The 17,418-nt window shown below is 47.3% G+C and overlaps 1 protein-coding gene and 1 long non-coding RNA gene across 7 annotated transcripts in view, besides 1 other annotated feature; both read left to right on the forward strand.

The window, feature by feature from the left end:
- The window catches only part of KCNIP1 (potassium voltage-gated channel interacting protein 1), a 383,146-nt gene that overhangs the window by 251,944 nt on the left and 113,784 nt on the right, over window positions 1–17,418 (forward strand). The window lies entirely within an intron of this gene.
- Window positions 6,331–7,067: an enhancer, noted in NCBI's record as "OCT4-NANOG-H3K4me1 hESC enhancer chr5:170038765-170039501 (GRCh37/hg19 assembly coordinates)". NCBI's record gives its function as "activates a minimal SCP1, AML or CMV promoter by ChIP-STARR-seq in naive H9 embryonic stem cells {active_cell/tissue: H9 hESC(naive)}" and the evidence as "EXISTENCE:reporter gene assay evidence [ECO:0000049][PMID:30033119]".
- LOC124901132 (uncharacterized) lies at window positions 13,162–14,674 on the forward strand. The gene is made up of 2 exons (XR_007059045.1): window positions 13,162–14,036; window positions 14,437–14,674. It is a non-coding gene; the product is annotated as an uncharacterized LOC124901132 (long non-coding RNA).

Genomic DNA, 17,418 nt, shown 5'->3' on the forward strand with positions numbered 1-17,418 from the left:
AACATAAAATGTACTATTTTAACCATTTTAAAGGATGCAATTCAGTGGCATTAATTACATTCACAACGGCATGCAGCCATCACCACTATCTGGTTCCAGAACTTTCTCATCACCTCAGATGGAAGCCCCGTATTCACTAAGAAGCCACTCCCCATTCCCACCTCCCCCAACTCCTGGCAACCACCAATCTGCTTTCTGTTTCTGTGGATTTGCCTATTCTGGATATTTCATTTAAAGGCATCGTGCAATATGTGGCCTTTTGTGCCTGGCTTCTTTCTCTCAGCACCATGTTTTAGGGTCTATCTACGTTGTAGCATGGGTCAGTACTTCAACCCTGTTCTTTTTTTTTTTTTTTTTTTTTTGAGATGGAGTATCCCTCTGTTGCTCAGGCTGAAGTGCAGTGGCACGACCTCAGCTCCCTGTAACCTCTGCCCCCTGGGTTCAAGTCATTCTCCTGCCTCAGCCTCCCATGTAGCTGGGATTACAGGCACGTACCACCACACCTGGCTAAGTTTTGTATTTTTAGTAGCGACGGGGTTTTGCCATGTTGGCCAGGCTGGTTTTGAACTCCTGACCTCAGGTGATCTGCCCACCTCGGCCTCTCAAAGTGGTGGGATTACAGGCGTGAGCCACCACGCCTGGCCACTTCATCCCTTTTTATGGCTGAGTAACATTCCATTGTGTGGATATACCACACGGTTTTGTTTATTCATCAGTTGATGAACCTTTGGATTGTCTCACATTTTGACCATTGTGAATCATGCTGCTATAAATATTCATGTACAAGTTTTTATTTGAACACTTGTCTCTAATTCTTTGGGGTATATACCCAGGAGTGGAATCGTTGGCTCATATGGTAACTCTGTGTTTAACTTATTGAGAAACTGCCCAACAGTTTTCCATAACAGCTGCACCATTGTACGATCCCTCAAGCAAGGTGCAAGGGTATCAGTTTCCCCACATCCTCATCAATGTTCTTGTTTTTATGGTCCTTCCAGTGGGTGTGAGGCTCTTTTTACTTTTTAATCACCAGGCAGAGATCTCTCAACCAACTATAAAATGATTAAATGACTGATAGCCTTTGTGATCAATCAGACTGGCTGGAGAACAGGAAGATGAGAGGAGCCTGGAGTCCCTGACCCAGAAGGTGGCCATCTCAAATGTTTTTTCCATCTTCCAGGGCTGTGGACTGGGCAGTTTGGGACCCGGGAGGGGCAGGCCGTGAGACCTGTCTAGTGCACATGTGCGACCTCATCCGATCCTCATAGTAACACTTACTAAAATTCTTAACCATTACCCCACCAGTCTATGTCCACACGGCCACGCTCACAGCCGTCCCTGCAGTGTCCCAGGCCCACTCTCACTTGTTCTTTGCAGAACCTCATGATGAATGCAGCATCCACTGTTTCCTTCTTCTGCTGCTCTGGTTCCCCTCCACCGAAGCACTACTTTGTCCAAGAAACTGCTCCTTCCCACCAGGCAGCGCCCTAGGCTGGGGCCAAACTAGCCAGTATCAACCACAGGCTTCTGTCCCCTGGCCTGAGATCAGATTCTTAGCTGCACAGCTGCCCCTGAGAGTTCCTTTCCCCAGGATGTGTTCTCAAGCGGGCAATGCCTCAAGCCTCCTGTTGAGGCTAGAGGAAGGACCACCTCCTGTTCACCAGCATGCACAGACTAGACAGGACGGCTCCGTCTGTCGCGCTTCTGTTGGTCTCTCATGCCCAAGGGTGTGGCTCTGGGATCAGCCTGCCCTGGTTCGGATCTACTTAATTGTCACTGTCACTTTCAGCTCGTTATTTAGCCTCCAGTGCTTCCATTTTCTCAGGGGTGTAGTGGGATGATGAAAACAATTCCCGTTTCGTAGAGTAGTGATGAAGAGTAAATGAGCTAATCCCAGTAAAAAGCTTTAACTCCTGAGCCACAGTAAGTGCTCAGTTTATCTAAGCATCATTATCAAACATAAACAATCATTTACAGAGTGATGACCACCGTATGCTCCAAACCCAGGGCTGGGGGCCTTTCCTACTTCTACAGTGACCCTTAGAGGTGAGCAGTCTAGCCCCCACTTTAGGGATAATGTGACGAGGTGCTGAGAGGTCATGATCTCCCAGCAGTGAGTGACAGAGCCTGAGGTGAACCCCAAATCTGTCTGACTCTAAAGTTCATGCTCATTCCAATCATGGCAAAGAAAATGCAGTGTCTTCTCACGAAGGGTTCATCCCTGCCTCCTCAGTGGCTGTTTCAAGGAGGGCCCTTTGGTTTGCCCAGATAGACTATTCACACTGAAAGTGACAATGGAGAAACTGGCCAGGACACTCCAAGGTCACAGAGAGGTTTGTGGAGGTGAGATGAGGGTCTCAGCCGGCGGGGAGGGATTCCGGAGGGCAGCGATCCCTAAGGTGGAGCCTTCCAGCCACAGGATGTGTGACGAGAAAGTTTTCCCTCTTCTCCCCTCACAGCCCGCAACAAAATCTACATGGCTTGCCAATATTCTTGGAGAATGAATTTGGGGGGCTGTATTTGTTTCCCATGACTGCTACAACAAATTACCACAAACTGAGTGGGTTTAAAACAATAGACATTTATTCTCTCACTGCCCTGAAGGCTAGAAGGTCCAGATCAAGGAGTGAGGACAGAAGAAGGTAGGCACTAGAACTTGACCCAGAAGCCTGTGACACACACACACCCCACATCCTTCTCCAGCCCCCCATTATCTGTCTCCTAGGAACAAGGACACCACTACATTCATTCCAGAAAAGACCCCTTTTGTCTGCCAGCCATCCTCAGAGCCGAAAAGCAAACCTTTGCTGCTGAGAGCTGCTGATAGAAGAGCAGGAAGCACAGTTAAAGGGGAACAGGCTCCCAACTCTGGGGCAGCAGATCTTTTGGGCTTCATGTCATAGTATTGTAAAGACAATTGCCAAAGTCAGACAAGATCAGTTGTGTGATCTTGGCAATTCACTTTGTTTCTCTGAGCCTCAGTTTACTCACCCATAAAATGGGGAGAACCACGTCTACCTGACTGACTCGTGATGAAGATGAAATTAACACAAAGACAAGGCTGGGCGCAGTGGCTCACGCCAGTAATCCCAGCACTTTGGGAGGCCGAGGCATGTGGATCATCTGAGGTCAGGAGTTTGAGACCAGCCTGGCCAACATGGTAAAACCCCGTCTCTACTAAAAATACAAAAATTGGCCAGGTGTGGTGATGGGCACCAGTAATCCCAGCGACTCGGGAGGCTGAGGTAGGAGAATCGCTTGAACCCGGGAGGCAGAGGTTGCAGTGAGCTGAGATGCACTCCAGCCTGGGCGACAGGGTGAAACTGTCTCAAAAAAAAAAAAAAATTAATGCAAAGACAAAATTAGTGTGGGAAAACCCTTTGCTCAGAGAAATGATGGCCACAAAGTCATATTACTCCCCCCTTACTCTGTAAAATCTCCTTTGCTAGAGGAAGAGTTAAAAGTCCAAGTGGGAAGCACAGTCCCGGGCGGAGGCAGGGAAGGCTATCCTGGCTCTGAGTCGGGCTCTGTCTACCTGGATTTTGTGCCTCCACGTTCCCTTTCATCACTCTCCAACAGGGAGATGTCTGTCTCCCCTCAGTGTGATAGTAATATAATGGGGCCTCCTGGTGCTCCTCAGAATCACGTGCTCTGGGCAGGAAAAAGGTGCAATTCTCCTGCAGAATGTACACAGCAAAGACTGGAAACGAGAAAACTGTCTTCCCCAGGGTGGCTTCCTAACAAATATAATGAGAAGGCGCTTCCTCTCTTCCTTTCAGTCACATGGGGAGGTCAACAGAGAGCAATGACTGTCCTGAGGCTATTTATTTATTTTTTGCCTGATAATAATTATAATAATCACTTGCATTTATTGAGTTGTCTGTGTCAGGCACCGGGCTAGGCACTTCACTGCATGAGTTATCGCAAGCAATCTTTCCAAAGGGATTAGGAAGCAGGAGTTATTTTACAGATGAGGAAACTCATGCATAGAGAGGTTGAGTGTGACGCTCATGTTAGCCTAACATGAGGATCCAAGAGCTTATCCATTTACTCAGACTTTTTGATTATTTTTTGTGCAATTTCACAGACTTTTGGTGATGCATAAAATTTTTTTAGAGTACTAGTTTGGGCCTGGCATGGCAGCTCACTCCTGTAATCTCAGCACTTTGGGAGGCTAAAGCAGCAGAATCACTTGAGGCCAGGAGTTCAAGACCAGCCTGGGCAACATAGCGAGACCTCACTAAAAATAAAACAAAAAATAAAAATAATACAAAAAATTAGCCAAGCATGGTGGCACACTCCTGTAGTCCCAACTACTTGGGAGACTGAGGCAGGAAGATGTCTTAAGCCCAGAAATTCGAGGTTGCAGTGAGCTATAATCACACCACTGCACTCCAGCCTGGATGACAGAACAAGATCCTGTCTCTAAAAACAAACAAACAAATAAACAAATACTACTTTGCTCATTCATTTAAGTCAGTAAATTGTGACAAATGGAAAAATGCAAGAAAAAAAAGGAAGCTGGACATAAAGCTAGAATGGAAAATGCATGAGCTCTTGCTGGGGTGGGTCCTAATTTGGCTTTTAGCTTCCTAGCAGCCCTTGCAAAGAAGAAAACAAGATCTGTTAGGTAAATCTCTATAGCAGTGGTTCCCAAGACATGGTCTCCTGACCAGCAGTATCAGCACTACCTGGGAACCTGTTAGATTGTCCCTCTCCACCCTCGAATCTGGGAGTCAGGCCCAGGCATCTGGTTTAACGAGCCCCCTAGGTGATGATGATACATGCTGAGGAGTACGAACCACTTATGTTAGAATAAATACACACCAGCTTCTAACATTGATATCGCAGAGAAATTTCTGCATGACACAGTGAGCTATTATATTGACCAAATCCCCATTATAAACACCATCATGTACTTAATAGGCCTTTTTCTTAACTTCCTACTTAGCATACACTCATGAAACCTTCTCAAGGCACAGCTTAATGAAATTAGTTCCAGAGGCACCAAGCTATGTCACCCAGACACACAGCATGATGGGCTGGTTTCATGCTCATGCACACTTCTGAGTAGTGAAAGCCTGGAGAATATCCCAGCATTGCTGTTAGAAGCCAGGACTCTGGAGCCAGGCTGACCCAAATTTGAATCTTAGGTGCACCTTTCATTAACTGAGTGACCTTGGCCAATTCCCTTAATTCCCTCCCTCTGCCTCAGTTTCTTCATGTATAAGAGGAAAATGACTATTTTATGTATTCCATGGAGTTGCTGTAAAAATTCAATGGGCTAACAGACCGTATGCTTAGTATGGTGCTTAGTATGCTAATGAGTCCTTATAAATGTTCCCACGATTATGAACTGCTAGAGTGTGTTTCCTGTAGGTAAACCTCCAAGCCATCAAACCTATGTCCATGTCTCCTGCCACCATCTGTCCTGGATGATTATTGTTCAGATGCATATTCCAAACTTACTGAGTACCTAGTATGTGCGGGGTTCTTTCACTTATATCATTTGCCTTTAAACAGCTCTGCACTGTAGTTATTATTACCCATTTTCTGCATCAGGAAACTGAGTTCCCCCCAAAATGAACTGACTTTTCAAAAGTCACACAGGTATTAAGTGCCAAAGCCAGGATTTGATTCCAGGCCTTCTGGCTTGACAGTGGCACTCAAATTCATCAAGTGTTTCTTGAGGATCTTGCAGATATTTTCTCATATTGCAATTCTAGTCTCTGATTTTTTAGCCCCAGCTGGGCAGGAAGGAAGCAGGTGCATCAGTTTTTAGAACTAGAGCAGGACAGATGCTTAGAATGTATCTGGTTCAAGCCCCTAGTTTATAGCTGTGAGAGTCCAGGCTACAAGAGGGACTTGGCTTGCCCTGGACCCAAAGAGCTAAGCAGAACAAATACTCACATTTGGTGCTGCTCATTTCTCTCCCCTGGGCCCCACAGCATCTTCGAAAGGTGAGGTCAATTCCCATGAAAAGTACCACACTACGAAGTGCAGCCAAGGTCCAGAGGGGTATGGCAGAGAGCTTAGGGTTAATTGATTAGAGCAGGAAAAGGTCAGAAGATGTGGAATCATCCACATAGCCCTTGCAAGGAGGTATCACATACATCCACTCAGGGTCGAAGACACAGACAGCATGTGTCTCTCTAGCCTTCCCTCTCTCCTGGAGTCCATAGCCTTGGCTGCCTGCCAGGAACCCGGCACACCCACCTCCCAACACCTCCCAAGCCCACTCCACCTTCCTCAAAGGGTAACCTCTTCCTGACCTAATCGTTTTCAGAGGAAAGAGCAGGAACTTTGGAGTCAGGCCTGGTTTCCTAATCATCATATTGGTCAAAGCAAGTCACACAGCCAAGCCCACAGGCAGTGGGGCTGGGAAGGACAGAGAGAGAAGGGAGAATCGCTACTGAATGACAGTCTACCACACCTATTGTGCAAAGTGCTGGAAGGGAGGATTTGTTCATTCATTCTGTTAATATATATTAACTGAACACGAGCCAGGCACTGGCCTAGGTGCTGAATATGCAGCAGTGAATGAAATAGACAGAAGTACTTTTCCTCCTGGAGTTCATGTTCAAGTGAATAATGGCCCCACACCTCGATTAATCCACAAGCACTTAACTGTCTACCCTGTCAGGTTTCCATATGTGCCAGACACATCATGTCCACAAGAGATTCTCTGCAACCAGCGAGCTCATGGCCCACGGGGAAACCAGACAGACAGACACCCAATGACAACATTGAAGGCTTGCACGCACGAGGGGCCAGAAAACACCCCACATGGAGTGGGTCCCACTCTAGGCCACTCTCCCATCCCTTCCCTTTTCCAAATTTCCTCCCTAGCCACATGCCTTGGTTTCCAGGGCCAGCCAGCTGTGCAAAATGCCTAGCAAGCTCTCAGCAGGCCCCTGCTGGGCACAGCACAGAGAAATTAAGTGCAATTAGCGTAACTAAGCCATCACCAGTAAGAGGCACTTGCTCTCCTGGCGGCTCCCTTTCGGAGACTAATGGGGATGACTAGAGAGGAGGATCCAGAGCCTATGGCTGAAACCTCATCAACAGCTTGGGAGAGTGACAGCCAGCCAGTCTTCTGCCCGCAGGCTGAAGAGGCAGTGCTTCCCAGGGTGAGCCAGAGGTCAGGAATCAGAAGGCCTCCCCAGAGCTCGCTCCCATTTTCCTGAGTCTAGGAAGATGGAGTAAATTGGTTTAATGGAGTGGAGTCCCGTTGTCATGGTGGCAGGAGGAGAACAGACGGATCGCCCTGCTCCAGCCTGACAATGTGAGGCTGGGCTTTTAGCAAATGTGGCCGGCTGTAATTCAGAGAACTCAATTTGACCCATGCTGTATCTTCTTTCAGATAATGGCCGTGTGTCCTGCCCTTCCCCCAAGTGGGGCAGGCTAGAAACCTCTAGTGGACTCCTCACCCCCTCCCAAGACCCAGTCAATCTATAGGGCCCGCTGGTTCCTTCCCCCAGGTCTCTCCTCTCTCCCTGGATTGTGGCAATAGCCTCCTGAAGGTTCCTCTGCGCCCCAGGGCTAAGTCCTGGTCCCATCCGCTCTTCACATACACACACCCAGCATAGCACATTTTTCTAGAACTCACACCTGAACGTGCCTCTCCTCTGTTGAAGACATCCCCAGAAGCTGATCCCTTTGTTCCCAATGCCCTTCCACCCTGTCTCCACCTGGCATATGCCTGTGTTTCCCTGAAATTCCAGCTTAAATCTCTCTCCATGTTTGGCCTTCTCTGCCTCTTGCTGGATTCCTCATCTCGCCTCCCACCGGTTTTGCATGGATCCCTGCCACTACCTGTGTGTGTCCATCGCTCCATCCATTGAGCCTGTGAGGGGAAAGCCTATTTAATTCATTGTCACATCCCTTCCCTGGAGACAGAGTAAAATAGCTAATAATTAGACAAAACATTAATTGAGTGCTTATTTTATGTCAAGTGTGATTTGAGGACTTTATATGCACTAATTTATTTAGCTTCCCAAAACTCCATTAATAGGTACTATTAATGCCCCCTACTTGAAAGATTAAGCAACAGAGGCATGAAAATAATAAAGTGATATGTCCAAAACTACACAGCTAATAAGTGAGAGAGCCAAGATTTGAACCTGAAGGAGATGGGAGGGAGAGAAATAGTTGGGGAGACCACAGGGAAAGGAGGAAGAAGAGAAGGGAAGAAAAGGAGGCGGGGAGGGCCGGGAGCTGGAAATGTACCTTTGTATTTTAAGTCATTGAGATTTGGGGGTTGTTACTGTCACAGATCCTAGCCTGTTCTTACTAATAAAATAAATAACTAAATTTATAAAGAAGTGTCAGAAAAAAAGGTCATATTAGACCACGAAGGATGACAAAGAGCTTCTTAAAAAGGGAACTCAAGGCCCAAACATGGGTATTGTTGTGTCATGTGAATCCTTCACAGGGGCCACTTGGTGTCTGTGTGGCTGGCTCTTTGTGGCCCTGGAGAGGGAACAAGCATGAATGCATCAGTGGCTTCCAGCCTGAACAGAATAAGTTCAACAAGAGATGGCCCCAGCTCCGGTGTCTACTGGGGAGGTGATGAAGTGAAGTGTTCAATTCCTGCATAGCCACCAACAAGTCCCTGGAAACACAATTGTTGAGGATGTGTCCCTCGGGGAGGCATGGTTCATCTGGCTGTGTCACAAAGCAGATGGGAACAGCTGGCGAGGAAGGACTGCCTGTCCTGGGAATTGCCCTAATCATCTTCCTAAATATTGCCGCAGCCAGGAGGAAAGCCTGATTCCCTGCAGATGGGGCCATTGACAGGATGCTACTGGTCCGGGTTGGGAGAAAAGGAATGCTGTAAACACAGTCAGCCCATTCGGCAGGCAGTGGAAGCTGTCTGAGGCTTCAGGGCCCCCTCCTCACTAGGGGCTATAATTCATGCAGTTTCTTATCTGCCAGATGGCCAGGAGGACACATGCATTCCAGTGGTGCCATCTTCTAAGTGTTGGCAGCTTGCCAGTGATCTCAACTTCATTTTCATCATTGCCTTTTGAGACTTTTTGTTCTTAATCACCCCAACCAACCATGAAATTTTAATACCAGAAATATATTCTCTGTTTACATACTTTATGCAAAATCTGTTTTTTAAACGTAAAAAGGGGATTTTTTCACACGTGCATTCCCACAAGAACCAATTCTCTCCCCCGTTGAGAATGCCTGTTGTACACTAAACCTTCAGATAACCATTTTCTGCAATCAGCCCTATCAGATTTGGAGGGAGAGAAGCAACTCACCAGGAAACAAATGCTCTTTGCATTGTTTTGTCTCTTCCCAGAAGCCTCCCATCCACCTTCAGCTGGAGTTGAGCTTTCTAACATCACTGCATTCCTGCACATCCACATTACCATCTTTATGTATTTGATTCCTCCTTGAGGGCAAGGCCTGTTTCTCTGTTGTTTACACCCCCTCTCAGTGCGTGCTGTAAGGTAGGAGCTTCACAGATGGTTAAAGCAAAACAGAACATGGGCCGGGTGCAGTGACTCACTCCTGTTGTCTCAGCACTTTGGGAGGCCAAGGCGGGTGAATCACCTGAGGTCAGGAGTTCAAGGCCAACCTGGCCAAATGGCGAAACCCCATCTTTACTAAAAATACAAAAAATAGCTGGGCGTGGTGGTAGGCGCCTGTAATCCCAGCTACTCGGGAGGCTGAGGCAGGAGAATCACTTGAACCCGGGAGGTGGAGTTTGCAGTGCGCCAAGATCGCGCCACTGCACTCCAGCCTGGGCGACAGAGTGGGATTCCATCTCAAAAATCAAAAAACAAAAAAAGGAAAAAACAGAACATGAAAGCCACTTTCCCACAGCCTGGGCACGTAGCTACTGTGGTGAATCACCTTTCCTGGCAGAGCACACTCAGGAACCGTCAGCTCCAAAAGCACCAAACAGTTTCATTAAGACCGTGGCTCCTTCGCAGAAGCACACGGAACGCAGACTGACAAGCCTGTGATAACATTTTAATGGCCTGAGTTCAGTTCCCAATAAAATACTTAAGTTTCTGCAATCATGGAGCTGGCATTTTCATTAATACTCCTGATTAATTGTCTGTCCTAGGAAAAGGCTCATCACCGTCACAATCCCGATCTTGCTAGTTCCTTGCAGGGAGAATCCCAGCAGCCTGGGCTTTTCCACCAGGTTAAAGCTGGCAAAGGGCAAGGAAGACTCCCTGGCACCTGGTACCCTCCACTTGCCATGGTAACAGAGGATTACAGGCTCTAAGCCCAGCTGCTGTCCTTGCATTCAGACCTCACCACTCATACACTGGGACCTGGAACTACTTAAATTGCCTCAGTTTCTTTATGTGTCAAATGGCGTTTGACACATAAAGCACTAATACTAATAGTACTTACATAATAAGGTTGTTGTAAGGATTAATTGAGTTGGTACAAGTAATGTCCTGGCACGCATCTGGCACATAGTGAGTGCTTCCTATAATAAACAGTAGCTGGGTTTGTTGTTGTTTTACTATTATTTTTCCTCCAGAAAGGCGAGAGTTGCATCAGCCTTGGAAGAGGCAGGACTGAGATGTTTGGGAACAAGACCACTTTCACAGGGGGCAGCCTTTTGAGAAATGTCATGTCTACTTGATAGGGCTTTAAATATGGAGTAGTGGGAATCTGCACATTTGGATTCAAATCCTGGCTTTTCCAATGGCTGATGATGGAACCCTTATAGGCTCAAATCACTCACTTCTCTGAGCCTCCCCAAAAATTGAGAATAACAGTTTTTATTCCATAGGGTAGTTTTGAGAATTGGTAAGATGATCATAAATGTAGAAGGGCCTGGTACTCATAACTGTTTTCTTCATTTATTTATTTAGTCAACAATGTTTTCTGAGCACCTACCCTGGGCCAGGCACACTGAGGTGGGCCTTGGGATTCATCAGGGATCAAAGGGAAAAGGCATCCCATCTCCGTGGAGCTTCACATCATCGTAGTTAAGGTGGATAATGACTGTCTCGACAGATAGGACAGTGGCCAGGACACAGGCCTTCAGTCTGGAGCATGCTTCTCATTTTGAAATAATTTCTTGTTCAGAGTCAGGTTGGAAGGAAGGCCTTGCAGGGGCTGGGTAAGGATGGCGGCATCTCTGCGTTCACGTCTGTGTGCTCACCATGAGAGCCCACCTCTCTCTGGCCCAAGTTTCCTTCTGTAATGTGAAAGAGGTGGGGTTCCATGCTCTCCTCTTCAGCATCCTCCTTAGATACTCAATCTGGCACTCATCAGTTTCGGACCCTCCATGCTGCCCCAAAGGAAGCCACACTGCACCTTCATCCAGTTTCTTAAACCTGCATGTTCTCTCTTGCCTCTAGACCTTCGCCCAGGCTATTCCATCTGCCTGGAACATGCTTCCATACACCTGCCTTCACTTGGCTAACTCCTACTTCTGCCTTGTGCCACTGCTTGGATTGAATGTCCTCTGGAATTCAGCCTTCCTGGATGTCCCTGAGCTGGGCTAGGGTCCCCTCTGCCCACCTCTGCTCTTTGATTTTCCCTGTTCATCACCCCAGTTATGACACTGAGTTGTAACTGGGATTTCTAATCTGTCGCCTCCACCAAGCAGCACACTCTTTCTGGCCAGGGTCCATGTCTTATTTGTCTTGGTATCTCTAGGGCCCAGAATCTGGTACCTAGTGAATGTGTAACAAATATTTTCTCTGAGCTAAAATAGGAACACAGGGTCCCTGCAATGAAGACCCCAGGTCTGGAGGGGAAGACAAGGTAGCATTACAAGATAACAGGCCTTCCCTGCAAAGCGTCAGCACTCAGACTGGGGCATTGTGGACAAGAAGGGTGGAGAGGAGAGAAGGCATGAAGGCATCCCAGATAGGGACACAGCAGAAACAAAGACAAAAAGGCCGGATAAGCAAGATCTCTTTGAGCCGGCAGGTTAAGATGGGTAGTGGAAAGCTGGACCACTGTCAGGTTTTGACCCCTCCAGACAATGCACCGTGATCTTCTGGCTTCCATATGTCCCTGGCTGCTGCTGCCTGCTGCCCACTGAGGGACCTCACCCTCCAGACTCTAAGTGATCTTAAGCCACCAGCCTTACAAATTACAGCAGACAGAGGGGGTCCAGGCCCTTCTAGAGATAGTGTTCACAGCACTTTCCCAAAGCTGGTTCTGCTCAATTCCCTAAAAGATCTCCTGCAATGGGGCCTCCAGGGTCCTAAAAGCACCATCTGCTCTTAAAGAGTCTCACTGCTCATTAGCATATCAAAGGCTCTGAAATGTCCTGCAGGAAAAAACTCTGGGCTAACTTTTGTAGCCCTGTTCCCCAAACTAAATTGAATGAAGGATTCTTTTTTTATGACCCACCTACAGTTCTGCAGAGATCCTCCAGGGAATGCAGATCTAACCCATTCTCTGTGCAGTGAATGGCAGAGAAAATTAAAGTGATTGCATCTATTGCACACTTACTTTTCCTTCGAGGTAGGTGAGAGAGTAAATAAGATGCAGGAGAGAATTACAACCGGAGATATAAAACAGTTGTCTTACAGGGAATAGTCTGTTTGCCCAGGGAGGAGGTTTTCAGAATACAAAGTACCATTTCTTCTCCACGACATCCCCAGGGGAGAAAGGAAAGTGAAAGAAGCCCTCCAACCGACCACTGGAGATGGGAGCATTTCTGCTGGTTTCATTTACATAAGTGTCCTTGGCAATTTGTCCCAATTTGTCTCATTATAAATGATGTAAACATCCGGGCGTAATCACAGACAAAATGGGATGGTTTAAATGCTGCCTGATTAAAAACCCTGGGTTGGCTGCAATGACTTGCAGGCATGCTAACGGCTTCCCTGCAAGGGACTTTGGTTTCAAAGTTCTGAGAGCTCAGGAGGGTCCCTAGGTCTAGTTGCAAAGTCATGTCCCCCATGACTCTGCAACTCTCCACATAGAGCCTAGCAAGAATGCATCATCTTCTCTATATCTCTTATAAGGAGGGAAGGAAGAAAGGGAGGGAAGGAGGGAGGGGGAGAGGGAGGGAGAAAGGAAAGAAGAAAAGAAAGGAAAGAAGGAAGGAAGGAAGGGAGGGAGGGAGGAAAGGAGGAAGGAAGGGAGGGAGGGAGGGAGGAAAGGAGGGAGGAGGGAGGGAGGGAGGGAGGGAGGGAGCTAACTGACATTTTCCCCTTTGCCATCTGATTGGCATGAAGGGCAATGTAACTGAGGAGTCTGGGGACCAAAGTGAATCCTAGTAATGTCACTCACTTAATATGTGTGATTTTTTAGACCAATCACATCATTTGGCCAAGCCTCAGTTTCCTAGTCTGTCAAATGGGAATGATGATTTGACATCTGGTGTGTCTCTCACTACTGTTGAGACATTATATAATGAGAGCATAGCCCTTTATAAAGACAGGGTTTCTGTCCTCTTTCTTACTTCATTCTTTCCTTCTCTTCTTTCCTTCTAATAGAAGGTATAGAGAAGACAGCACATTCCTACTGAGCTCTATATGGAGAGCTGCAGTCATGGGGGACACTGTCTAGATCTGGGGACCCTCCCAAGCTCTCAGAGCTTTGGAAGGAAGGTCCCTGCAGGGAAACTGTGTGTGTTTCTTCAACAGTGTATCCTCAGTGCCTAGCACATGGTAAGTGTTCCATAAACAGCTGTTGAAGAGACGGATGGATAACTGAATGAATGGATGCTTCCATGGGCAATGACACACTAATCTGAAAAGCCCTGTATCAATGAAAGAATCACTTAATAGTTTAACTTTTCCCTCATCCTTCAGAACACAGATGGCATGCCATCTTCCCTTCAAATCTCTTCCCAGTGCCCCACACAGAAGAGGCACACTTGGACACTGGTGTCTGATGGACCCAAGTTCACAGCCTGTCTCTGGTCATCAGGTATCATGACCTTGGGCAAGAAGCTTAACTCTCTGAGCCTCAGTTTCCCCTTCTGTCCCCCAGGGAAAATGAGTCCTGCCCCTCCTAAGGGAGGTATGAGATGTAAGACCCCGAAGGACACAAAGGTTTGCCAGGAGCCTTCAGGTAGGAGGCAGGTAAGGAGGTCTGCTAGATTGGAATGAGTTTCTGGAAGGCCCCAAGGAGCTCAAAATCAGACCTGGGGTGAAGGTGTCTTGACCAAAATGAGACCCATCAAAGAAGCCTGGATGAAGGTGCCCACAGCATCCATCAGTGCCAAAAACAGAAACACTTTAGCCCAGGATACAAGGAACATTTTAAAGCAACAGAGATAAGAGATAGTTAGAACTCAGGCCTCCTGGCTCTTGCTGTTCTTGGCCCATAATTAGTTGTTATGGGACCTTAATAAACTTCTTGCCTTCTTGGTACCTTTGCCAAACAATCTGATGAGGAGAATATTGAGTCATGGTGCCAGGGAAAATTAGCATATTCTGCAAATTCCTGGCACTGTTAACACTGGATTCTGTCCACCTTTAGAAATCCTCAGATCACTATGTCAGCATCCCCCAATCACAGCTCTCCAACTTCAAGGAGGGTTGAGGGGTCTGAAGAAGGAGAGAGAGGCAACAGAGCCAGAAACCCTTCAGAAGATGCCAAGAGCAAGGTTTGGACCCATAGTCCACCACTTACTAACTTCAAGAGTGTTATGAGCTACAAACTTCTCAGTCTCCGTTGACTCATCTCAAAAATGGAAGTAAAATTATTTACCATGCAATATGTTGTCAAAATGCATTGGGTTTAGTTCATAGCAGGTGCTCAAAGAATATCAGTTCCACTTCCCTTGTCCCTAGAGAGCCTTGTAGTGGATGTTGATGTGTCTTCCAACACATGCACCAACCTTTCCCTGTCCTGTAGCAGTTGAGATGGAATCATCCCACTCCCAGCTCCAGGAATAGGCTCTGATGGGCTTGAACCCAGCAGCTTAATTCCATTGGTTCTCTAGGCCTTCATCATTAGTACAGGAAAGGCACTTGACCTAAATTAGTTCGATAAGATTTAAGCTCAGAAATCTGGTTTGTTGGATGGAGAAAGAGATGCTTTCTTTCTCTCTGGAAGGAGTTTATTGCAAAAGTAAGGGCTGGGGCTGCTACAGCCATTGTGCTACCATGAGGGAACTAGCCATGATAACAAAACTTGCCTGGGGAGGGGCTACGCATCACAGAAAATGATGCCAAAGTCCTGCTCAAACTGTGCCTGATGCCTGCCTGATCTATGGACTTCTTAGTTCCATGTAATGGATTCTCTCTATTTTTAAAGCCGTATCAGGTTGAATTTTTGGAGAAATAAAACAAAAAGCATCTTGACTAATTTAAAAAATCTTCTTTGGGTATTCAACCCTCCTAAACTCACCCCCAAATCCACTGGGAGCATGTCAAGATTTTTGTGAGCCGATTTAGGAGATGCAAATTCATTTGCCTTAATTGGATCTCCAGGAAATGACTTCTGCCCCCTCTTAAATCATTTAAAGCTCAAAGAGGCATGAGGGCCCTCCCCAAGGATGCAGGTATCCTCTTGACTGACAGCCTGTATGCTCTGCTTCCAGGATCCTTCCATCTCCTCCCTTTACTGAGGGAGTCTGCTATGTGTTAGAGGTGTCCATCACTGGTCACACTGGGAAGCTGTGGCAGGGAAGCTGGAGAAAAAGCAAGATAGGCCCCAGAAAGAACACCAACTCCAGACTCAGGGAGACTCAGGCCAGAATCCTAGCTCAACTTCTTCCAAGCTCCCAAAGTCACACTCTTTTCTCTGAGCCTCGATTTTCCCATCTGCAAAATGGGGATACTAAGGGTCACCTAGCTGGGCTGCCCTGGAGATTCCAAGACATTAGGCATAGAAACAGTCTGGCCTAGACCCTGTAGGCCAGTAGGCATTTGATCAATGGCAGCTGTGGTTGAGATTTTTATCATCATTATGGCTGCCCTTCCTGCTTTCCAGGGCTAGTGTAGATCTAAGATTATAGGGGCTGCAACGTTCCTCAGTGGAGCAGATGCAGCAAGGTAGTAAGAGAGGGCATTCTCACTTGTCCCCACAGAGTGTGGTGTGGGGGAGATCTGTGAGCACCCCAGCAGCCATGAGGGTCAGCACTTGAATCTCTGCAGGTCAGTCATACTCCTCTTTATTATTTTTATTTTTATTTATGTATTGATTTATTGCTCTGTCACCCAGGCTGGAGTGCACTGGCACCATCATAGCTCACTGCAGCCTTAAACTCCTGGGCTCAAGTGACTCCCACTTCAGCCTCCCAAGTAGCTAGAGCCACAGGCACATGCCACCACGCCTAGCTAATTTTTCAATTTTTTGTAGAGACAGGGTCTCACTGTGTTGCCCAGGCTGGTTTCAAATTCCTAGGCTTGAGTGATCCTCCCGCCTTGGACTCCCAAAGTGCTGGGATTACAACTGTGAGCCACTGCACCTGGCCTTATTCCCTTCTTTTTATCAGTTTTCAAAGCCATCAGTATGCAGAGCACTAGGCCCAGAAATGAGAGGAGAAGAGAGATGGAACGACGAAGACCAAAACCTCTGTCCTCAAGCTGCTCATAAGCCAGTATAGAGACGTGTGGAGTCTGCTGTCCTGAGTTCCAGTCCCAGTTCCCCTTGCAAGCAGCCGTGTGACTTGCAGCAAGTCATTGAATCCCTTTGAGCCTCACTTTCCTTGTCTAGAAAACAACAAAACTGGAAATAATACTGCTTCCCTTCCAGTTTGTCAAGGATGAAGGTGCTTTGCACGGTCCCTGGAGCAAAATGTGTTCTCAATCAAGATTCCGTCTGTGGTGGGTGGAGCCGCGTCCTTCCCAAATTCATATTCACTCAGAACCTTCAAATGTGACCTTTTTCAGAAATAGCATCTTTGCAAGTTTAATTCAGTTATGGGTCTCAAGATGAAATCATCTTGGATTTGGGGTCTATCCGAAATCCAGTGACTGATGTCCTTATAAAAAGAAGGGATACAGGCCGGGGCCAGTAGCTCACGCCTGTAATCCCAGCACTTTGGGAGGCTGAGGCAGGCAGATCACTTGAGGTTAGGAGTTCAAGACCAGCCTGGCCAACATGGTGAAACCCCGTCTCTACTAAAAATACAAAAATTAGCTGGGTGTGGTGGTGAGCACCCATAATCCCAGCTACTCGGGAGGCTGAGGCAAGAGAATTGCTTGAACCCAGGAGGCAGAGGTTGCAGTGAGCCGAGATCGCGCCACTGCACTCCAGCCTAGGTGACAAGCGTGAGACTCTGTCTCAAAAAAAAAAAAAAAAAGAGTGGATACAGAGAGGCAGTGAAGAAGGCTGTGTGCAAAGACAGGCAGAGGTTAGTGGGATGCAGCGCGAGGCTAAGGAGTGTCTGGGGCCACCAGAAGCCAGGGAAGCCTAGGAAGGGTTTTCCTAGAGCCTTTGGAGGGAGCACAGCCCTGCTGACACCCTGACTTCAGACTCCCAGCCTCCAGAGCTGGGAAGGGATAAGTAGCT

This window comes from Homo sapiens, chromosome 5 (genome assembly GCF_000001405.40).
Source record: "Homo sapiens chromosome 5, GRCh38.p14 Primary Assembly".
Lineage (NCBI taxonomy): Eukaryota > Metazoa > Chordata > Mammalia > Primates > Hominidae > Homo > Homo sapiens.